This window comes from Homo sapiens, chromosome 7 (genome assembly GCF_000001405.40).
Source record: "Homo sapiens chromosome 7, GRCh38.p14 Primary Assembly".
Classification (NCBI taxonomy): Eukaryota; Metazoa; Chordata; class Mammalia; order Primates; family Hominidae; genus Homo; species Homo sapiens.
In genome coordinates this window covers 31,513,776-31,539,414 of record NC_000007.14, presented here as the reverse complement: position 1 = coordinate 31,539,414, position 25,639 = coordinate 31,513,776, and the positions used below count along the sequence as shown (strand labels likewise).

Below are 25,639 nucleotides of genomic sequence, written 5' to 3'. Positions count from 1 at the left end.
TTAGGAGTTCAAGACAAGCATGGGCAACATGGTGAAACCTCATCTCTACAAAAAATACAAAAATTAGCCAGGTGTGGTGGTGCATGCCTGTAGTCCCAGCTACTTGGGGGGCTGTGGTGGGAGGATCACTTGAGCCTGGAAGGTTGAGGCTGCAGTGAGCCAAGATGGCACCACTGCACTCCAGCCTGGGCAACAGAGCAAGACCCCGTATCAAAATAAACAAAAACAAAAACAAAAAAACTTATGTTCACACATACAATTGCACATTGATGTTTATAGCAGTTTTGTTAATAACTGTCAAAACTTGGAAGCAACCAAGATGTCCTTCAGTAGGTGAATGGATACATAAACTGGTACATCCAAATAATGGGATATTACTCAATGTGACAAAGAAATGAGCTGTCATGACACAAATAATGGTAAAAAGAATGACGGAGTTACAGAATTATCAACTTAACTGCATCATAGTAGTAAATAATTTCAGGAACCACCGTAATTGGGTGCAAAACTTACGGGGTGAAAGTCCAATGAGGAATAGGATATCAAGATAGCCTCAAAATGTTTCTTCAAGAAATACAAAAGGAAAAACAATAACTTTGCAGTGGAGAAATTTAGCCGATGCTTCCTTAACCAAGTGATCAATATTCACATCTCAGGTAATGGGATATAACAACATCATATTCCTCCTGATATGACACACTCAGAAAGACAGTGGTTATTTCTGTGCTATTTCCATGTTTTAATAAATGAAATGTAATTATGAAAAATATCTAATAAATCCAAATTGAGGGACATTTTATAAAATAACTAGCCTGTTGTATTTTAAATTTGTTAATGTCATGAAAGACAAAGAAAGATTGAAGAATTTTAAAACCCTGAAATGATATGACAACTAGATTAGACCCTGGGCCATAATTTTATGTTTGCTTTAAGGACTTTATTGGGACAAAGGCCAATTATGAATATGGTCTGTAGATCAGATAATAGTATTGTGTCAATGCACATTTTATTATTTTGATAATTATACTATCATTATGTAAAAAACTGGCCTGTGGTTTGAGAAAATAAACACTGAAGTATTTAGGGGAAAAAGAGCATTATATCTGCAATTTACTCTCGAAAGACACTACATACATAGTGTGTGTGTGTGTGCATGCGCACGTGTGTGTGTGTGTAGAGACAGACAATAATAAAGCAGGGGAAGTAAAATGTACAATTAAAGAATGGGAAGAGTACATGAGAGTCCTTTTTATTGTATAGCCTTATGTCCAATAATTTTACTTCAAATATTTTTTCAAAGGAAATAGTCATAAATATTTCTGAAGATCAGTCCAGTCTTCGCTGTTAGAGCAAAAGTTTAGAAAAAGACCTACATGGCCATCAATAATGAATTGCTATTACATAAGTTATAGATTTTTACCTGATGGAATACTGTGCATCCATTGAAAATAATAGTGACAATGTATGGTTCTTGATTTGTCCCAGATGTCTGGAATATTTTGTTACAGAAAAAATGTCACAGAAAAATATGTATACTATGATCTTATTTTGGGGGGAGAAGAAATCAATCAATATTTATATTAGGAAGATACTAATCCAAAATGCTAAATATGGTTATTTCTGAATGGTAGGTCAGGTGACTTGCATTCTTATTTTGTGAATTCAGATTTGTCTGAATGTTTTTTAACAGCCATGAATTATTTTTATTATGAAGAAATAAATAATGTCATTTTTATTTTAAAAATCAATGGAATAAGAACAGTGAAAAACATTAAAATATAGCATAAAAAGCAGGTAACAGTCTCTAAATATAATGTGTCATAAAATAAAATGTCAAATGTATAATTTTATTTAGAATGTGGGAAGTCACAAAAGAATGTTACTTCCAACCTAACAACAGAAAATCCAGCTAACTTTTAAAAAAATCATAGATTTTTGTTAAAATTGGGGGGAAAAAACTAACAAATTAATACCTAGAAAATGGCAAGTCTCTTGTAGCAGAGAAAAGACCCATGTCTGTTTTCATATTTGTGAAGCAGTAAAAGGAGGAGAAAAACTCCATGGGTAAGATAAAATGATATAATTTTCAACAGATTTTTAAACACCAATTGTGGGGTGTCTAATACTTTAGAACCCCTATGGGTCTCAGGTGAAACTGTGGGCCACTCACAATCTCTCTTCTATGACCTTTATGTGAGTATTCACCAGGAAGATTGGGAGCAAAGTAGGACAGTAAAGAGACCAGTTCCTCTTCAACAGGCAGTGTCTTTGGAAGGGGAAACACACACACACACACACACACACACACACACACACACAACACACACACCTTCTAGGCATACAATAAATAGGAAGCAACAGCAGGCTATGGCTAGAGGGGAGCAGGATAGCTAAGTGAAATTTTCACTTAAGCTCAGGCATGCAAAATCTGCTGAAAGTCTCATAATGGAGCAGAATAACTAAAAGAAACTCCTCTAAGCTTTCCAAGACTTACTCTGAATAAGAGGCAGCAGCTACTTATGGCTAAGTGAGGAGGAGAAGAGCTAAGAGAAATGACTTGTAAGGTGCAGGTGAATGAGGCCTGCTTAAGACTGAAGGCAGAACTGAGACAAGCCTTATATAAACTCAAAAATCCCAGCCCCTGATAAAGGGAAGGTTCTGATTCTATCTTTCTGTTAGTTCAACCCAGTGATGAACTAAAACTAACTAAAGTGACAGCAAATCCAAGACCCAGCAAGACTACAGACTAGATTGATTCAGTGCTCTATACAAGTGGCTTGATAGAAAAAAAGGATGTTCCTGTTGAAGATCATAAAAATATTTACTTCAGTTTTTTATCTTTTTTGGTTTATATATAACATTTAGCATTTAATAAGAAATTATAGGAAACAGAAAGAGAGATGAAAATGAGACCCATCATTAAGACAGGAAATGGTAAATACAACCAGACCCAGAGATAGACCAGGTGGTGAAATTATCAGACAGGGACTTTAAAATAAGTATAATAAATAAGCTAATGAATCTAGCTGAAAACATGGAAAATATGTGAATAGAGGAGACTTCCAACAGGAAATTGAAAAATGTTGGAAAAAACACAAAAAGAATGCAAGACATGAAAAATAATGTGGTACTAGAAATGAAGAATTATTGTGATGAGTATAGCAGCAGACTGGACACAGCAGAGGATAAAATAACTGAGCTTGAAGATAAGTCAGTAGATATCATCAAAACAGAACTATAAAGAAAAAAAATTTTCAAAATGGAACCTAACATCCAAGATCTATAGGAAAATACCAAGTGATCGTCCGTATTTTTGAAGCCCCAGAAGGAGAATAGAGACAGAATAGTGAATAAATATTTCAAATCATAATAGCCTGATATTTTCCTAAACTGAAGAAATATATTAAACTACAGATCCAGGATGCTCAGTAAATCCCAAGCAAGAACACTACACTGAGTCACACCATAGTCAAACTTCTGAAAATGGAAGATAAATAGAAAAATCTTAAAAGTATCTAGAAGACAAAGACACACTACACAGAGAGGAACAACAAATAAGAATGATCCTTGATCTCTTATCAGGAGCAAAAAAAGGCCAGAGATAATTGAAAGACAAACACATTTACCCTTCTAAAATCAAAACAAACAACTGAAAATCAATGTGAATCTATAGCTTTATAGCCAGTTAAAATATTCTTCAAAAATAAAGTATAAACAAAGCATTTCAGATGTTAAAAAAATGCTAAAAGAATCCATCTTCAGCAGACCGTATTACAAAAGAAAGTGCTTTTAAAAGACCTTTGGGTTGAAGACAAATTATATGAGTTAGAAAACTGACTTAACAGGAAGTAAAAATTTGATTTAAAAAACCTTCAAAGTTATTTCTGTTATGTTTAGGAATATACCCACACACACATATATACAAATATATATACATCTATATGTATACATACATATATAATTATTAATTACATATCTACTGAGTCTATCTGCATGTAATCTAATTGATAGATAAAAATACATATATATTTCTCTCAAAGACTAAGGATTGGTTAATATTTGCAAGGTACTATGAGATTTATATATCCGTAGAATCAAAATATATGAAAACAAGAGCACAAAAGTTAAGACAGTGATATTTCGAAGTATACCATTAGAAAGTTTTTACATTGTGAAATAGTACAATATACTTTAATGATAGATTCTGATAAGTTAGGCAAATATTATAGTCTCTAGAACTGTGCTGGTGACAAGGTAACCACTACCCATATATGGCTATTTACATTTAAATTAATTCATATTAAATAAAATTAAATATTCAGTTCCTTGGTTGCATTAGCCATATTTCAAGTGCTCTTAAGGCACATATGGCTAGTGAGCTACTCTATCGCACAGTGCAGACTGGAATGTTTCCATCATTGTAGAAAACTTTATTAGACCCTGTAATTCTAGGAAAACACTAAAAAATAAGATAAAAATAAATTTAAAAGAATCATAATAAAAATCTTAAAAAGCGAAGATAAAATGTAATTTAAAATTATGTAATTCAACTACCTCTCCCTAATAAAACAGAAAAGGAGGAACACAAATAAACAATAGATGGACAAATAGAAAACAAATATCAATAGGGTAGTATTTTAACAAAACACATCAATAATTACATTAAATGTACATGGAAAAAACACCTAACTACAAGACAGAAATGGTCAACTGGATAGAAAAAAAATCAAATTATATGTTGCTTATAGCAATGAACTGTAAATAGACAGACACAGAGAGACGTTGAAAGTAAAAGGACAGAAAAACATTTAACATCCAAACACCAAGCATGAGAAAGCTGATATAGCTACAATAATACAAGATAAAGTAGGTTTCAAGACAAAAACTATTAGCAGAGTAAAAAAAGCAATGTTATCATAACAAAAGGTCAAATCAAGAAGACTCAATCTTAAATGAAAATACAATAAAACAGCTCCCAATGACATGAAGCAAATACTGGCAAGACTAAAGAAATAGACAAATCTAATTCAGAGCTGGAGATTTAACATCTCTCCTGATAAACATGAAAAGTAGATAGATATTCAGAAAGAATATGAAAGATTTGTCCTAATGGGCATTTTAACCAAACACTCCACCCAGCAAAATACAAATTCTTCCCAAATGCACATGGGACATTCACCTAGACCAGCAGTCCTCAACCTTTTTGGCACCAGGGACTGGTTTGGTGGAAAACAGTTTTTCCACTGGAAGGAGGGTTGTGGAGGTGGCAGGGAATGGTTTAAGAATGAAATTGTTCCACCTCAGATTATCAGGCATTAGAGTTTCACAGGGAGCACACAACCTAGATCCCTCGCATGTGCAGTTTGCAATAGGGTTCACACTTCTGTGAGGATCTAATACCATGGCTGATCTGACAGGAGGCAGAGCCCAGGCAATAATGCTTGCTCACCTGCCACTCACCTTCTGCTGGGTCGCCTGGTTTGTAGCAGGCCAGGGACTAATACTAGTCCACAGCCTGGGGTTGGGGACCCCTGACCTAGACCATCTACTGGGCCATAAGACACATATTAATAAATTTAAAAAGATGAAAATTATACAGATCATGTATTCAGATACATTAAATTAGGAACACTTAATGTACCTAAAAAATGCTCAAATATTTGGAAATTAAACCATAATGCTTTAAATGACCAATGGGTCAAAGAAGAAATCACAATAAAAATCATAAAATATTTGAACTAAAAGATAAAGGAAATATAACATATCAAAATGTGTAGGATGCAGAGGAAGTAATTAGAGGAAAGTGCAGTTTAAAATGCATATATTGGAACATAAGAAATTTAGAAAATAAATGACTCATGAATCTACTTTAGGAAGACAGGGAAAGAAGAAAAATTAAATTCAAAGTAAGTGGAAAAAGGAAATAATTTAAAAAGTGTAAAGATCAATAAAATACAAAACAGATAACAAAGATAATTTTAAAAGTCAACTGTTGTTTCTTTAAAAGTTTCAAACAATTGATAAAAATTGATTTTTTATCAATTGATAAAAAGAGCAGGAAGATACCACAGCAGATTCTGTGGGTGTTAACAATGTAAACATATGTTATCAAGAAACTTCATGACAATACATTTGACAAAGAGATAAACTGACAATTTTTTTTGGAAAACTCAACTGACTAAAACTAAGAAACTGAGGGAAAAAAAGATTTTTTAAGAGCTTCATATGCATTGAAGAAATTGAATTTGTAATTAAAATCCTTCTCACGGGGAAACCCTGGGTACAGATGTCTTTACTGAAGAATTTTACCAACCATTTAGAGAAGAAATAACACCAATGTGACACAATTTTTTTCTGAACATAAAAAAAGAAAAAAAATATTTTCAATTCCTTGTATAACACTGATACCCAAACCTGATAAAGGCATTTCAAGAAAACAAATTATAGACCAGTATTCTTAATAAACATAGATACAAAAAGCTTTAACAAAATATTAGCAAATAAATCCAGCCATATGTAAAATGGATAACCCAAGCAGGGTTTGTTAAAGGAATGTGAAATTGGTTTATTATTAAAATATCAGCCCAGAGATGTTGTGAATGGCTGAACAACTAGTACATTTCTGTGAAGTGGCCAACTTGCTTGGCCAGCTTGCTAAAACATCATCTGGTATCTGCTTTGCATTCTTCTGTTTTCTTTTCCCTCACCCTTTCTACCTTGCAAGCGCATTTCTCATAAAGCATTAAACACTTCAACAAATCAATGAACAAAATTCATCATAAAAACAGAATAAAGGAGAAAAACCATGTGACCACTTAGCAGATGCAGAAAAGGAATTTGACAACATTCACACCCATTCATGATCAAAAACTCTTAACAAACTAGAAATAGAAATACTTCTTCAAACCACAGGTATATCTGGAAAAATCCTACAGCTAATGTCATACCTAACAATGAAAGACTGAGCACTTCCTCCTCAAATTGCAAATGACACAAGGATGTCTGCTCTCATCATTTCTATTCAACCTTTTTCAGAATGTCCTAGTTAGCTCAATAAAACAAGAAAAGAAATAAAATTAGAAAGGAAGAAATAAAACTGTCATTAATGGGCAACATAACAAACAGAAAAGAACACTTTTTCTAATAAACAATGTGGAATTATTCAGTTTTAAATATTCAAATATCCAATATTAAAACTGTTACTATAAACTTTAATGTCATTAGAAAATGTTTATGATACAATAAACATACATGCAACAAAATAAAATAAACATGTTATAAAATTGTATATATATTATCTCAAAATGGAAAGGAATTAGTTCAGATTGCCAATAGGGAAACTCTCTTGGTGGATCAGGATGATTATGTTCTTCCTGTCATAAATTTGTTTAATATAGTTACTGCCCTGACATCCATTTTTAGGCCTGACGTAAGTTGTTTAAAATGCAGTTGTACGCTATTACCTTCAGCTTCAGTTAAAACTTCTCCTCCTTATGTGATTGTAATATAGCCCACTTGTTCCTCATCTCCCTGACCCAAAAACCTAACACACCCCACAGCTGCTAAGATAAAACCTAATGATCAACATCAGAGTCATGTAAATAAGCTTTCCCTTGTGTGTGTGTTTTCTTTAAACTATCCAATCCACAACCCCTGTGGGAAAGCCTAAAGAAAAACACCCATGGATCTTAATAAAGTCCCACAGACTCCCTCTCTTTCTTGCTCCCTTCTACTAGTTGAATTCCCTGCGGGCTTCCTGTAGGCCTCCTGTCAGCACCCCTAGCCAGTCTGGGACTTGTGAGTAATACATTTCTTTGGTTTCACGCATTTTATTTTCGCAGCTTCATTGTGTCTCACCTGACTGACACAGCCAAACCTAATGCTCCCCCAGTGAACGATCTCCTGAAAAGTGGCTATCTTGGCTTATGGCCACTCAAGAGAGAGACCTCAAAACCAAATTAGAAAGAAACGATAACAACGAAAATCATAACACTTCCTCATATGCTCCTTAATTTCTTAATCTTCTATCATGTTCATGAATTATTCTTATAATCAGAAAATTAGGTACTCTTAAAAATATTTTATTTTGTACTCTGTGGGATAATTCCAAGTGCTACCAAGGAGAATCTTTATTTTCTCTATATTATTTCCTTCTTCCTAAAATTTATCAACTTGCTTTATTTATCTTTGTAGTATATGGAGATCATCTTGTAACTATGCAAACTCTGCAGGATTTCCAACATGCCTAAACTATGCTCTGATATTCTGGTCAGTGCTTTCCAGCTTTTTGATGCACAGAGCAGCTCTGCACCCAGCTCCATTTGGGCTCCCTCTAAAGTCCTGGAGGAGCCTGCTCTGGGAGATGACCAGCCCTGGAGTTTTCCCAGACCTACTCCAGAGGCAGCCCCAAAAGACAAAGTATCAATATCTCCCAGAACATTGGATGGCCACTTGAACAGTACTTGTAGAGAAGTTCTGAGCAAGGCTAATCAGGCAGTACTCTGGTGTCTGAACCAGAAGATATAGATCCTATATATTATCGTAATCATGATCAGTTTCAATACCTAGTTGGGAAACTGATTAACTCATGTGTTAACATTATGAAACAAACAATGAACTCTGGACTTGTTATAATTATTTGGACTATTGCTTCCTTTTTTTAAGGTTTGAACCCAAGTATTAAGTCACTTCCCAATACTGTATAATAAGACAATGATAATTAGGCAAGTTTTCAATGGAAAATTACAGTGAAAGTTTACAGTGAGAAATGGATGATTTTTCTCATAATCTTCAATTTTCATCTTTGAATTGAATTGTCTTAGCAAATAGAAATAAAAGGCAATTACATGTGAATTTCAGATCAAAAAATACATTTATGGGCATAACTGTGACCTATTTATTTATAACTGTGCCCCGTTATTTGGGATATACTTATACCCCCCAGATACGCTATTGATCTAAAACTCAAATGTCACTGGGCATCCTAAATTTTATCTGGCAACTCTATCCCTGAGTCAGCTTTCTCCATTCCTACATGGCTCCAGTACATCACGTTCAGTCTTTATATTTAGTGAATTCACTGATTAATTAAAAATGAGAAAGTTCATTTCTTTAGCTTTTTCTTAATGAATTAAGCCTCCTTCAGGTAAGCAAGAAAGACAAAAAAAGTCCTAAGTACAAAGAATAGCAATAAAAAGAAGGGAAAATATAATTTCTGCATCACTCCTCAGAAACATTGCTTGAACTAGTATTCAGAACATAGAGGCTATATAACCGAGCAATTTTGAGCCCAAAGCATTTTCATCCCCTGTGTTTTAGACCTTTCCATGTTAATGGCAGCCACCTAGGTAGTCCTGGGGGTAAATGAAATCATCTAGGCCCAAATCCATGACAATTAGATCACTTCATCTTCTTGCTAATAGTTTTTCTTCCTAGGAATCACCCAGTCACACAGCTGCAGGTAAAGAAGTTTCAGAACACGCCATCGCTGCCCTTTCATTCCAACTGAGAGAAAATGAGAGCAGACAGCTAATACCCCTCCCCAACAGGCTGGATTAAAAGAAAAAAAACAAATTATAAGAGTTACTGTACCAGAATAAAGGAGTTTCAGCAGAGAAATGGTCTTGCAACTTGCTGTAGTTGGCATCAAAGTATGTGTGGAGATCTTCTGTGCCTTTTTGTCTCCTTGAATGTTCCAGCAGCTAAGACTGACTACAAAGCCCTTGTGACTGCAGAACTATGACCCAAGTTTCTGTCTGCTCCTATTTAAAAGTTGGTCATAGAAAGCCAAGACAGTCTGTTTGCCTAAAGCCATGGTCAAGTTGAGGGTAAAGACACAAAGTGATTCTCTCTACCCACTTCTCTACAAGAAAGAAAGTGGTAAAAATGTCATTAGGAATGGCAGGAGTTACTAGTAACAACTTCTGGATTGAAAGGAAGAGTGTGTGGAGAATGAATACAATGGTTTCCGTTGTGGTTTTATTTCTGTGAAACCTCTTGCTGTTCCTTTAATGCTCTTTGACCTGTTGGCAGGTCTGAATGCAGGACTGGAATGCACTTCACTGAGGAAGTAAAGCAAACTTGTCTTCATTTGGCTACCATGGTTATGACACTGTGTGTTACCAACCCAATGATTTGCATTGCAAACCATCACTGGAAATGAGGACAGCAGAACTTGATATTCAGGATGGAGAGATTCAATTCACTGGAAATTCTATTGGAAAATTCAGAGGGAGCAAAACATACACATACATACTCCTGAACCCATAAAGAAGAAGTCCAAATTGTGAGTAAGAACTAACAGTCAGTCTTATCATCCATAGAATTTCACTATCTATGAAGTATTTTAGTTGAGAGATGAGACGATTTCACATTAGGAAGATGAGTAGGCACACTACTGACCTCATTTTTTGAATTAAATTCCACTGTTACATTTGCCATGCATTCTTATATATGACATAATGCTAAAGCACTACCTAAAAATAATGTTTTTCTTGAGACATGCATTTCAACAATATCCTTCATTTTGATAAGCTGCATTATTAGAGTTTAAAATGATGTAAAAGATCTTGTGCATTTCAAATTATATTTCATTTCAAACACAGAGGAACCCCAATATGAGAAAAGATGAATTGGAAGTTCTGAGATTAAAGAGGAGGGGAAAGAGGGGAGGAGGCCTCATCAACTCTTTCCTCTTCCTCTATGACAGCTCGTGAAGTTTCTCTGCTGGGCTCCAAGCATCAATGAGCAAGATATGAATACTTTCCTTCTAGCCCTATAAACTAGCCCTCAGCCTATTCTGGGAGATCTCTCGTCTCTTAAGACTTCTCCCTGCCTTCATCACCAGTGGCTGAAATTCTGCCTCTCAGGAGCCCAGGAGTGTGTCAAGGCTGACATGACAAAACAGCCTCCTTTTCCTCTGTGGCATGTACTGCCTACTCAGCCCTGAGAAGACCACAACTTTGTCTCAGCATCCACCAGGATGTGGTGGCTTTGTAAAAAGGCTAATGACAAAGCATACTTTAACCGAAATGCCATGGCCAGAACTGTACTTGCAAAATGATGACCTTATTTTAATAGCTTCATTCTAGAAGATTTTAATAGACTTGATCTTTAAAATAAAACTGGGCATAGAATTTCATCCACATACACACATAAACAACCTCAATTACCCATACTTTGATTATCCATTAGTTATACATGTATTCATATAACTTATTTTTGTGGGAGAGTGCAGCACTCAGAGCACTGAAGTTTGCATTAGAAATTAGGAGAATAGGACCCTATCAAAACACAGTTCCTACTCACATTACCTTGGGGAAATCAATTTCCTTTTCAGAGGCATAGTTAATTCAGAATAATGATGTGTGCATCATGGGATTTTTTTAAAAAAGAAATTTTCTTCATGAAAATTAATGTGTTGTGTTATATATATAGTGGTCCATGAAACAATGGGTGATTCATAACCAAAGCACTGTAATTCCAAGAAAACTCTTCCAAATAGAACACTTCCCTTTCAGGTCTGTCTGCCAACATACAGATATCATCCTTAGTGATAAAGAGATAGTTAAAATAAGTTGAAGTAATTCACTCTCTAAGAAAGAAGACAAATAAGTTCTAAGACAGCAAAATAATTGCTAAGGGTTTTTGTTTTATTGTTGCTGCTGCTGCTGTTGTTTTTGTTTTGGGAAAAGGAGAGGATTCTATGAAATCTAATAGGTAAGGTGCTCAGTCCAGCTTCAAGGGTTTGGAAAAAACATCCTGGAAATTACAGAGTCTATGTGCGATTCTAAACAGGGATAGAATTTAGCCAAGGAGGCTGAGAGAAAGGAAAAGAAGCTAAAAGGAGGAGGTGCTCCAGTTAGCAGGGCATTGAGGGAGATGACAAAAGGTGAGATTGAAAACCTATGTCATGCATTTTCCACATTTTTAATAAGTAAATCATTCTTATAACCTATTTGGATCTACACAGTTATCCTATAATAGGAAAGTAGGAGTGAGGAAAGTGAGACCCAGAAAAGCTAAGAGATTTGACAGTGTCACAAAGTGAGTTTTTGACATACTGCATACTAGGGCTAAGGTCTCTGAAATCTCTGACATAATGTTTCTACCATTAATGGGAAACCAGGCTAAAAGAAGAGGCGCAGTTTTAACATCTTCTCAATTAACTCAGTAATGTAATTAACTTTGACTGGAATAGCCTTCATAAAGTATGAGTAAGTAAAGGTAAGCCTCTGTCCTTTGCATGGGGTGGGGAGAAGGAGGATGATTCAGGGAGAGAGAACAGCATGTGCAAAGGTGCAAAGGTCTGAGGTCAAGAGAGAGAATAAATTCCACTTGCAAAATTACAAGAACCTCAGCATGCCTACTACATAATAAATGAGGAGTCAATGTCAAGTGATGTAACTGGAAAGGGAAGGAGTAATCAAAATATGAAGGACTTTGCATGCCAATAAGAGGTTTGAACTTTGTTCTGAGGGCAGTGGGAAGTGACATGATCAGACTTTCATTCTGAAAAGATCTTCTTGCTTCAATATGGAGAATGGAATGAATGGAAGCAACAAGACTGAAAAAAGGAGGCTGGGGACCAGGTAAGATATTATGGTGACTGTAATCATGGCCCCAAGAGTAGAAATGTAGATAAGTGAGTTATTTTAGAACTATGTGGGAGAAAAAAAACTGCAGGTCTTACGGACTGATTGCTGTCGGGGGACGCAATGGTCAAAATTGATCTCAGTTTTCCAACTTGTGCAAGTGGTCAATACCATTTCATCTATAGAGCAGGCATTGGAGAAGGAAGTATAATTTGAAAACCATTAAGATAATGAGATGATTATAACGATAGCCACCATTTATATTGGTTTGTGCCAAGCCTCACAGTTAAAGTCTTACAACATTTTCTTACTTAATTCTCACACAAAGTTTAGGTGGAAGTTATTATTAACCCATCTTAGAGATGAGGAAACGGAGCTTCACAGATGTTAAACCATTTTTTCCCCTACAACTAGTCTGACTATGCCTCTCTGACTCGCAACGTAGGCCTATCTGACTCCTAGAGCTCAAAAAGTACAAATGCTTCTTGATTTATAATGGGGTTAACCCCCAATAAACCCATCATAAGTTGAAAAATTGTTAAGTCAAATCATCATATGTCAGAGACCAGCTGTATACCAACTGCGATACACTTTCTAAAGTTATTTTGAGGAAGGACAGCATGTTATTTTAGAGATATCAGAATCTCTCTCAGTTTTCCAACAATTCTAAATAAAAGGGAAGTAGAAGATTTAGTGTGGTTGTTTTATGTTCACCAAACCAAGCCAGAGAATTAGTTGTCATGTTTATTGACAGAGTTTCCAGGTAGGGCCAAGAGCCCTGGCTAGATGAAGAGAGCTGAAGGTAAGCTTTTCTTCCTTTCAATTCATGCACAGAGACTCAAGCTAAGTATTTTTTTTAACATTCCCAGTGAGCCAGAAAGTTACCAGAAAACACAATCTCGATGTACAGTACAATTAAATGATGACTGAGACTGATTTATAGGTTAGTAAGCTACAAGAATAAACAGGAGGCAATTCTTTCCTAAGTAATCTTTAGTAGATAATATGATAAATCTAGCTGTTAAATGCATAGCATGAGATTGAGTGGCCCCAAATTGCTCTATGTTCCACTAGATGGACTTTAAGATAGTGTTTCATTTTAACAATGCTTCTATTGTATTTCCCCCCTTAGAGTTAAATTTGACACATCATGCATGCTCCCCAAATATTTGGTATTCTTTCTCATCACAGTAAGTCCTCCCAGGTCAATTCAATCTTTCTATAGTAAAGATCCAAATCAAATGCTGCCTCTACTGTGTAGGAGTTCCCCATCTTTTCCCCTCATTTTGCTTATGCCTGTTCCAGAACATTTACCACATTGTGCCTGTTACTATACCATGGAGTCTCAACTAGCACTGATTTTTCCCCAAGGGGACCTTTGGCAATGTCTAGAGACATTTTTGATTGTCGCAATGGGGTGGAGAATGCTACTAGTATCTGGTGGATAGAGGCCAAGGATGTAGCCCTACCACAAAGAATTTTTTAACCCAAACATCAAGATTGATGACATTGAGACACCCTGTATTTGACAAAGGAAAAGATGGAAAGGTTAGGACTTAGAGTCACAAGTGCTCAGTGGCAGCTCTGGCACCAGCACTTGCTACCTATGCCATTGGGCATGTCTCCATTTCAGGATTCTCATCAATACAGTGCAGATGCTTCTTTTACAGATGCTTCCTTCACAGAATTATTGTAGGGGTTAATTCAATAATGCATGATAAATGGCCTGTAAACTTGATTGAGTCATCATTTTATGTTTTATGATTGTATGTGTAATAGTGAATGTAATAATAATACTAATTGCACAGTCAGTTTGGATACATAGATCTAGAGCTCAGTAATGAAATCTGGACTGGATTTCACACCTGAACCTGAATCTTACCTTTTGTATTTCATCTCAATAAAGATTTCATATTGAGCTGAATCTCTGAGCTAGCACTCTTCTAGGTACCATTGATATAAAAATAAGATATTCTTCCTAAATTAAGGAACTCTCTTTGTAAGATGAAGATAGACTCATAAACAAATAGTTACAATACTACGTAAAATAAACTAAGATAACAGAGGATAGGTGAATAAAATTTTTTAGAAGCAGGCCAATTCAAAACATATAAAAAAGCTTATGGGCTGCATTATAACCAGCAACAAAAAATTTCCTTTACTACCTTGCTTTACTGATCCCCATGGGGGAAAATGTACATTCTTATGACTTAGATTGCTCACTCTACAGAATAGATGAAAGTCAATAAGAAAACTGAAATTGCCTTTTAACAATGAACATGTTAATTCTGGCCATATAGAAAAGTAACAAAATGGAGGCAGCTTTCTAATCTTTAATCTCGAAATGGGACCACTAATCATGACTCAAAATGGCTGCATGTGCTGTGAATTGCTCATTGCTGTAACTGAGATATAAAATGCTTTCAGGACACAAATGAATGTTTGGGGGAAAGTTTTCTAAGACACTCCAGGCAGCTGGGAAGTATTTTCATTTATTTTGCTCATAGGAAAGGATTGCTCAGTAAATATCTGATAATCTGTGCTGGATTGACTTGACACAGTAATATAGGAAGTGAGCATTGATTTTCCCCCTTTCTCTACCAACCCCACTGCATTATTGGTTGAAAGGGAGAATCCTGGGACATGTCATAGAAAACTGAGTGGACTCATCTTACCTACACCTTGTCTTGGATACTCACCAATATCAGGGTCATTAAGTAGTTGTCATATTACCAACATATACTTCCTGCGCTGTCCCCTGTAGTATTTTCTTCCATGGATTTCCTGACCTAGAATGTCCTCAGTATTGCCTAGGGTAATGATTCCAAGACATTTTAGTCTAAAGAGCTCTTCAATGGTTCAAGAAGAACCAACACTTTTACAACTAACATTTAGGTCAGCAAACCTTAGTAAGAAAAAAGCCCAGGCTTCTGATTCAATCCTAACAAGAGCTAGTTTATATTTTGCTATTCCACACCAGGAACACTGAGCATAAAACAGTCTGAGAGCACTTAACACTCCTGTAGTAGGCTATTCTTACATTGTTATAAATACCCGAGACTGGGTAATTTATAAAGCAAAGAGGTTCAACTGGCTTACAATCATGGTGGAAGGTGAAGAAAGAGCAGGTAGTAAAAGCAAAAGCAAGAGGTGGGGATGCCACACATTTAAACAACCAGATCGCTTGAGAATTCACTCACTATTATGAGGACAGGACCAAGCCAGGAGAGATCCACCCCCATGACGAAAACATCTCCCACCAGGCCCCACCTCCAACATTGGGAATCCCATTTCAACATGAGATTTGGGCAGGAACAAGTATTCAATCTATATCAATCCCTCATGGATTACTATTGGATATCTCTGAGTACCCAATCACCCTCAGTTTAGTTGGGAGTTACTTTAGGGATATCATCAAGGCAGCTCTTCACGTGACACCCTTGTCTTGCAATCAGTTTAAAGAGTCAACTAGTTAAGAGTCAAAGAAGCATTTATATCCATTTCTTCCTAGTATCTACTCCTTAGTTAAATCCATACATCTCAATCCTGTATACAGGAATCAAAATGGCTGAATTCTTCTTTGATTAGTAAGACTAGAATGCTTTTGTCTGCGATTTAGCAAACATACCCTCAACACCAGCAACCTTCTTGTCGTCTTAAAGAATAAATTTGTGTTAAGACAAATTTAGAAAGGAACTAAGCATGGGTATCTACTTAATGCAAGGCACTGTGCTGAGTGCTTTACAAACATCATCTCATTTAAAACTTACATTAGCCCTATGAATCAAAAACTCACTATCTACATTGCACAGATGAAGAAACTGAAGATCCAAGGTTAAATACATTTCCCCATACAATATAGGTGGCAGGATTTGAATACGTACATTATATCTACAAACCCCTTATTTTCTCCCTATTTCATATTTTTGGGAAAAGTAATAAATGTGGCTCATATGCAGTCAAACTAACTCTATTTATACCTTTAAGTTAACGAACACTCAATTGCCATATTATGAGCTACCAAATAAAGAATACGGGAGTTTTGGCTTGCTTTGTTTTTAACTTTCTTATAATTTAAGATTGTGTTCTACACAGCTTGCCATCCCTGGAATTTCTGTCTAATGCCTAGCATCATGAAAACATGCCTAGGATATTCAGGGAAAGACATTCAAATCAGATCATAAGCAAACAGGAGATTTCCATGACAGACTGATACTGGGTAAAAAGGATCCTCGAAAGAATGCATCTGTCCCAACTTTGAGTAATATGGACTTGCTCTACACTGCAGAAGGCAGACAAAAGTAAAACCTCATTGAAACAAAAGTGTGGCTTATTCCTTCATGAGCAACTTTCCTCATAAGTTCCATGAGACGAGCATCTATTATGTTTTGGTTCATCAATGTATCCCCAAGAAGGCTGTATAGCACAGTATCTCACCGTGAGTGCTCAATGGCAGTGAATGTGACCTTCACACTGCAATCTTAGTCTACAAGATGGTGAAGGATTTCAAATAGAGAAGTCAAAGTAATAAGGTGGCTAGCCTAAGGGAGGGGAGTCAGAGAGGACATGTTGTTTTCACATACTTTAATCGTGGGTCTGTGGAAGAAACATAGGTAGAGTCAGACCCATTGGCTGGATCTATAGGGAGCAGCATCGGAGAAATATGAAAAACAACTTCCTAATACTCAGTAATGAGATGAGTAATGAGTTCGCAGTCCCTGGAGGTGCTTAGTTAGAAAAAGACTTGCTCACTAATTTTGGGGTAAGAAAATAAAAATCTTTTGTTGAAACTTCTGGTTTTTGCTTTTTTTCCCATAAAGAGCTTGGAAGTTGTCACTCCTATCCTTATAAAAAGAAAAATTCCTGGGTAACATAGTAAGACCCTGTCTCTACCAAAAAAAAAAAAAAAAAAAAAAATTAAATTAGCCCATGTGGAGGTCCATGCCTGTAGTCCTAGCTACTCGGGTAAGTGGTGGGGGCTGAGATGGGAGGATCACTTGAGCCGGCAAGTTTGAGGCTGCAGTGAGAGCTGTGATCACCGCCACTGTACTATAGCTTGGGTGAGAGAACGAGGCCCTGTGTCAAAAGAAAGAAAGAAGGAAGGAAGGAAGGGAGGGAGGGAGGGAATAAAGGAGGAAGGAAGGAAGGAAGGAAGGAAGGAAGGAAGGAAGGAAGGAAGGAAGGAAGGAAGGAAGGAAGGAGGGAAAGGAGAAAAAGCTGGACAAACTGAAACAACTTTCCTCGGACACATTCCAGAACTGAGGTCTCAGAGATAATCTACATATCATAATCTTGAGTAGCAGGCTCACATGAGACATTTAGCAAGATGGAATGCATTCTAGGTTATGCAATACACCTTAATAAGTTTCCAAGAATAGAAATCACACAAAGTGTGTTCTCATGCCATGATAGAATCAAACTAAAAACCAATAATTGAAAAATATCTAGAAAATCTCAAGATACTCAGAAATTTAATGCACTACTAAATAACATGTGTTTAAGAAGAGATCCCAAGAGAATTAGAAAAATATTTTGAACTTAATGCAAATGAAAATACAACCTATCACAAATTTAAAATGTAGCAAAAGCAACGTTTGGAGGGAAAGTTATAGCATTAAATGCATATTTTAGAAAAGAAGAAAGATCTACAGTCTAAGTTTCTACTTTAGGAAAGTAGAGAAAAAGAGCAATGTAAGTCTACAGCAAGCAGAAAAACTAAAAAGAAATAATAAAAATAAGAGTAGAATCAATTAAATGGAAAACAATGAAAAAAAATCAATGAAACCAAACCTTATTTTTCAAAAAGAACAATAAAATGGACAAATTTCTAGCCAGAAATGAGAAGAAAAGAGAGAAGACAGCCTTTGTAATGTGAAGCCAGGGTTCTTACAGTTGTGGAAATCTACAACTAAGCAAGCAGAAGAGTCTAGAATAATTCATGTAGGAATGGATTAGAGATGGAGACATCAGTATTAACTCATGTTTAACTTAATATAGGTATAAATGATTACATATGGAAGTTTCATGGGTATATGTATATACATGGATTAGCATACACACATATATTTCATCCCTCTATCTGTTGAGAGGGCCTAGAAGCAAAACACTCCACTAGTAATGAACATAGCTGGTATCCAGATCTTGGTTTCTAAAACCATTCTGATTCTAGGTCTAGGGCAGGAAATACAAAAGATGAGCTTATATCACTTTATAGTGCCAGAAAGTAAGAAAAGTGCCAAACTCTCTCTCTCTCTCTCACACACACACACACACACACACACACACACACACACACACACACACACAATGATGTGGTATGTCAAAGAGACACAGGAATCAACTGAAAGAGCTCTTATTGGCCAAAGCTGGGTAGAATAATTCCAAATAATCTATGTAGATACTCCCACCTTCAAGGAGGTAGAGTATAACTTCTCACTTCTTGGGTGTGCGATGTGCATAGTGACTTTCTTTCAAAAAATAAGTATGGAAAGAGGAAAAGCGTAACTTAACAGTGCAGAAACCTGACAAACACTATCTCAGGCAGGTGTTCAGGTTAACATCAATGGAGATAAGTCAGGTTGATAGTGTGTTTTTTTGACATAATTTGATAAAAATGCTATTTTACCTTTGTGGTCTCCCTCCCCCAAACCCATAACCCCAGTGTAATAATAAGAAAAACACCAGACAAATTCCACTTGAAAAAAAAGTCTGCAGTATACTTGATCAGTATTCTTTGAAAATTTAACCATCATCAAAAGCAAGAAAAGTTTGAGAAACTGTGACAGTCAAGAGGAGCCTAAGGAGATGTACCAACTAAATATGATATGGCATCCTGAATGACATCATGAAACAAAAAAAAAAGTTAGGTAAAAACTTAAAAATGTTTAAATAAAGGCGGACTTAGTTAATAATAATGTATCCATATTGGTTCATTGATTATAAACACATGTATCATACTAATTTAAGATGTTAATAATAGAGAAAGTGGGTAGAGAGATCTCTACAATTTTGTCTATATTGAAAACTATTAAAAAATTAAAATGTATTTATTTTGTGGTTGGATTAAAAGATATTTTGTAAACCTACTCCAACTCTGAGATTCAGTGATTCTAAAATAAGATATTTATGATAATGTGCAAAGAAAGGGACAAATACCAGCAGGATAACATAAGATTTATATATATATATATATATATATATAGAGAGAGAGAGAGAGAGAGAGAGAGAGAGAGAGAGAGAGAGATACCAGAAATAGAACCATATATGCATGTGCGTATATATCTATGTATAGATGGAACATCATTATGTAAGGATATATAACACAATGCTAACAGTGGTCATCTCTGGATGATATGATTTCGAACAGTTTTTACTTTCTTCATTTTATATGACTGCATTTTTAGAATAATTGACAGAGGAGACACAGTTATTTCTGTAAAATAACAAGAAGTTAATACAATTTTAGTGTTTAAATTTAATGAGTATTCATGATGAGAAACGCCTGTCTGAGCTATGTGCCCCTCCTCCAAGCTCAACCAATACCCTGTGCTAACTTCAATCATTATACCTTACCAACCATTCTATACACGTATGTTATTTCTCTATCTTCCTTCCTGGATAATGATCTTCTTGAGAACAAGAAATATCTCATTTTGCATCACTACCATGTTGTGTAGGACCTGGCGTCTTGAGCATTTGGGGTACCTGCAGAGCACGCTGCAGGATACAATCTCGGACAAGTCACTGCCACAGTTTTCTCATATGTACAATGAGAAATTTGGGCTACTGTCATCTCTGGGGATTTTTCTAGATCTAAGATTCAAGGTTCTTTGCCTGTTACAATGAATTAGGGAAAACGTCACAAAATAGGAATCTCAGGGAGATTATGTGACTTGCCCAACTTCTTTTGCATCTTCTGGAATCTGATAGAAGATTAAGATTCAGGAAATGTCTGCTCTGTGGGAATTGGTTTAGAAGACTTTTTCTGTAGGTTTTAAATAATTTATTTGCTGTTAAATTTGTCCTTGCAAATTTACAAAAGCCTGAACATATGAGATTGGCTAAAATACAGAAGAATAAAATACAAGGATAATTATTTCCTGAGACCTTGTTAGAATTGTTTTTTAGATTTTTCTACAATACACAGAAAATACCCGTGCGATAAAGTGAGTATATTGCTACATGTGTTTCATTCTAATTATACCGCTTTTTCCTTGGACCTGAGATTAAGGAAGAATGATGGAAAATCATAATTCATGGTTTATGCACTTCAAGGTCAAACTCAAAGGGCCTTCCAACATCATTGACTCTGCCATCTCTCACTCAGCAACATTCTCCAGCTATCCAATTCCTATTCCCCGTGGACCCTGATCACTTGAAACATCGAGTTCACCTAGAAGAGCCTATTATAGTTTATATGTGTTTCCTTGTGCTGGTATAACAAATTATCACAAACAGTAGTTTTAGGCAACACACATTTATTACCTTACGGTCCTGGAAGTCAGAAGTCTAAAAATTAGTCTCACTGGGCTAAAACGTATCTGTTAGCAGGCCTGCACTCCTTCCTGGAAGCTCTAAAGGAAATCCATCTCCTTGCCTTTCAGAGGCTGTCTCCATTCCATAGCTCGTGGCTTCTTCATCTTCAAAGTTAGCAGTGTAGCATCAACTCTCCTGACTCTGCTTCTCTGCTCCTATCATGATGGCTCCTCCTCTGACCCTGACTCTTCTGCCTCTTTCTTATCTGGACCTTTTTATGACATTGGCCCCACCCAAAAAACCCAGGATAATCTTTTCTTCTCAAGATCTTCAACTTACTCACACCTACAAAGTCCCTTTTAACACACACAGTAACATGTTGACATCTTTGTTGTGGGGAGGCACTATTCTGTCTACCATACACCCATCTTTCTCCCATAACTCAGAACAGTGGAGACCTCTTATTCTGAGTTCCAGTATTGAGAGGTGACAATGTGCTAGCAGCCCTCGCTGTCTCTCGGCACCTCCTTAGCCTCGGCGTCTGCTCTGGCCACGCTCGAGGAGCCCTTCAGCCCGCCGCTGTGCTGTGGGGGCCTGTCTCTGGGGCTGGCTGAGGCCGGAGCCGGCTCCCTCTGCTAACGGTGAGGTGTGGAGGGAGAAGCGCAGGCGGCAGCCGGGGCTGCGCACGGACCTCGCTGGCCGGCGCGGTTCCGGGTGGGCGTGGGCTCTGCCTCCCAGCACAGGCGCACCCGGCGCCTGCTGGGCTTGATCGGAGGCTGGGTCCCGTGCGTGGACCGCTATTCCCTCTTCGTGGGGTCGTTGGCCACAATGATGGGTCTCCATCTCTTTCTTGTTTCCCTTCTTTTCCTCTTGGTTGTCTGGGACGAGCTCCCTCTGGGCTGTGGGAATGCCCAGGCTAGGTGCTGGAAAGTCCCGCAGCCACTGTTGGTGAGAGGTGAAGCCGGCTGGGTTTCTGGGAGGATGGGGACTTGGAGAACTTTTCCGTCTAGCTAAAGGTTTGTAAACGCACCAATCAGCACTCTGCCAAAACAGACCAATCAGCTCTCTGTAAAATGGACTAATCAGCGCTGTGTAAAATGGACCAATCAGCTCTCTGTAAAATGGACCAATCAGCTCTCTGCAAAATGGACCAATCAGGAGGATGTGGGTGGGGCCACATAAGGGAATAAAAGCAGGCCACCCGAACCAAAACCTGAAATCTGCTAGGTTTGCTTTGTTCTCTGGGAATGGTGGTTTCTTTCGCTCTTTGCAATAAATCTTGTTGCTGCTTATTCCTTGGGTTCATACCAGTTTTAAGAGCTGTAACACGGTAGAGGTCTGTAGTTTCACTCCTAAAGTCAGCCAGACCACGAAGTGAGACCACAAACCCACCAGCAGGAAGAAACTCCGGACAGGTCCGAACGTCAGAAGGGACAAACTCTGGACACACCATTTTTAAGAACTGTGACACTTAACACGAGGGTCTGTGGCTTCATTCTTGAAGTCAGCGAGACCGAGAACCCACCACTTCTGGCCACAATATCACAGCAACTTCTGAGAAAGACATTTCTGGTACCAGTCACATCTTGTCACAGAGAAGTCACTACTTTGGAGGTTCTGTTAAAAACTTCTGTTGTAGAAAGTGCAAATGGACACATAGGCTCTAATTGAGTTTATCTAAGCATGTACTATTTGTATTCAGACAATTTTTTTTTTAAGTTTATAAGCTTTGGCAAGACAGACTTACATTCAAATCTGGGTGCTGCCAACTATTATCTGTGTCTGTTAGAGCAAGCCGTTTCTCTTCCTGAGCTATGGCATCTCTAACTCAGCCACATTGTCTACTACCCTCCCTGGGATTTCTCTGAGATTTGCGGGATATCAAGGGTGTTTTAAATTAGACAGTAAGAGTCATAATTGAATTTTGTACATGTAGTTGAAATAATAAACAAGATTGTATAATTTGGGTCAGCTTTTTATAGAGTCTAAGGTTTGATATATTAGTTCTTTTCTCTGAAAATATTTTCCATATTTCCCAGAACCAATAGTACACACATACATACATACACATGCACACACACGCAGAAACCTTCAACAAACCTAAATGTGCAATAAGACATCCAGGTGATTATGCACATTATATACTGTGTTTTACAAAGAGGGTTTATTATTAATCTTCTAGCCTTATTCTCTTTCCTTTCCTCACCCAATCCTATGTGTCTCTGTGATTCACTGAAATTCGTCCAAGTTGGGCATTAATACCATATTTATTTATTAACCATTAATGTGGTTAATACCATATTTAATTTGCTGCAAGGTCAATGTTTAATAACCTAATATTTTGTTGGCAAAAAAAAACTATTATGAAAGGTACAAATATCTAGCCTGTTTCTTCTCCTAACACAGTACTTTTATCATCTTATATGAAACAGAAGCTCAGCCTCGTTAAAACTTCACAACATTTTGGAGAGCTGCTTGTTCCCTGCTCCCTTCATTCTCTTGTTCTCATTCTCTCTTCACATTCCCTCCTTCCATCATTCTTTCTGTAGATAAGAAATATATCATTTTGGCTCATTGCAAACATTTTAAACAATACAATGTGTATAAAATTAAGTGAAAATTCATATCCCTACGTTTTCAATCTTACAATGTAATAATCACATCAAGTTGTTGCCAATCCTTGTCCTCTGGGCTTTTTCACGTACTGGACATCATGGTATGTCCAAGTAGATACATTTGACTCTTTTTTGTTTTGTTTTGTTTTGTTTTTTGAGACGGAGTTTTGCTCTTGTTGTCCAGGCTGGAATGCAATGGTGATATCTCAGCTCACTGCAAACTCTGCCTCTCAGGTTCAAGCGATTCTCCTGTCTCAGCCTCCTGAGTAGCTGTGATTACAGGCATGCACCACCACACCCAGCTAATTTTGTATTTTTAGTAGAGATGGGGTTTCTCCATGTTGGTCAGGCTGGTCTCCATTTGACTTATTTTTAGTGGCTACATACTAGTCCATTGCATGGACATACCACAACTTGTTTCTCTCTGTTTTTTCTTTTTTTTTTTTTAACCACTGCTGTAGAAAGCAGAGCATTTCCCTCATTGCCTTTATAAGTTCATGTATTTTTCTAGTGGAGAAGTAGTGGAAAGGAATGAAAAGGTATTCCTATAACAATTTTTTTAAAAAGCAAAACTTTTCCTCCAAACTCTCCCACTTCTTGATCTCTTGCCTTAGAGGAGTTAGGAAAATGGTCTGGTAAAGTTATGAGTTAGCTATATATTATCCAATAAGAATAGATAATTACTAAATCACCACTTTCTTCTCTTCTGTCAATTCCCCTAAAATTGTTACTGAAATGGGCCAGGCTCTCAGGTCTGAACCAGGAGAAGTGAGAGGGAGCTGTGAATGACTTAATAAAGGTACCTGCTAAAAACACAATTGCTTTTATTTTATATATATTATGTAAAATATTAACCTTTATATATTACATAAAATTCATGTTTATAGTATATATAAAGCAATTTATATATCTATTTGTGTATATATATGTGCAAATATGCTATCTAGTCTGGTTGGAACATTCAATTTCATTAGTATTTAACACATCTTATTCATTAGCAACATATATCTGTTAAAGTTGAAGTACCAACATACTATTCTGACTTGTGGCATTTTGCAAATTATACTGGAGCGATATCCTCACACAAAAATATTACTAGCTGAAAACTAGAAATGGAGCAACACCGTGCTTATAAGCTGTACTTACCTGCTGGACTCTCTCTCTCCCTCATTCCCTGGAATTGGCTAGCTCTCAAAACCACAATATTTAATTGTCAATTATTAGCCCCCACAACTCCAGATTAGCTTTTTTCTCCTCTGCCCCCATCCAGGAAATGGCCAATACTCAATATTCCTTCTTACATTTCAACTCCTTTATCACCAACAGCATTTAACATTATTTTATTTGATTCTAACAACTTCAGTCTGATCAATTTCACCTGCATTTAAAGGAAGCCTATTAGCTAGGTTACAATCTAGAGGGAGAGAAGAAGGTAAACGTTTTGTGTCCCTTTTTTGAAATGATCATGGAGAATATTTAGGTTCCTAGAGCACACACATACAAAAGTTTTTGATAAACAGTCTTACCTTCCTTAGTTGGAGGAGGGGACAAGCAATGTTTATCCCTCAAAGCAGATGATCATGAAAGCCCCCTCCAGCAGCCTCTACCCACCTGCCACAAAAGCTCCACTCCTGAGCCATCTGAAAGTTCCTGAAGGAAACAGTGTAGCATTTGACTAATCTTGCATAACATTTTCATAATCCACACCCATTGTCCTAAGGAAAAACCTGTTTTCCTCATCCAAAGGGATCAGGAAACAATCAAAACAGAAGCCTGCGACAGAATGGCACCTTCAGACAACTAAATCAGACTGAAAGAGACTTCCAGCATTCACGGACCCTCAGGATTTTATAAGCTCTACTTCATGCCAGACACTCGTCTGGAAAAAGGAGATGTGAAGATGAACAAATTGCTTTCCTCTCCCCCTAAGAACGTGCAGCCTTTTAGGGCCACAAG

General features: G+C 36.8%; 1 protein-coding gene across 6 annotated transcripts in view; it reads right to left on the bottom strand.

The window, feature by feature from the left end:
• The window catches only part of ITPRID1 (ITPR interacting domain containing 1), a 144,631-nt gene extending 119,306 nt beyond the window's left edge, over positions 1-25,325 (bottom strand). For 3 of the 6 annotated variants that reach the window (XM_011515213.3, XM_017011872.3, XM_017011871.3), the window contains exon 1: positions 25,210-25,325. The gene's annotated coding sequence lies outside the window, so the exon portion shown is untranslated. Of the gene's footprint in view, positions 1-9,591; positions 9,659-21,077; positions 21,835-25,209 lie in introns of those variants that run through there. The other 3 variants (NR_047565.3, NM_001257967.3, NM_001257968.3) reach the window with 3 other exon arrangements.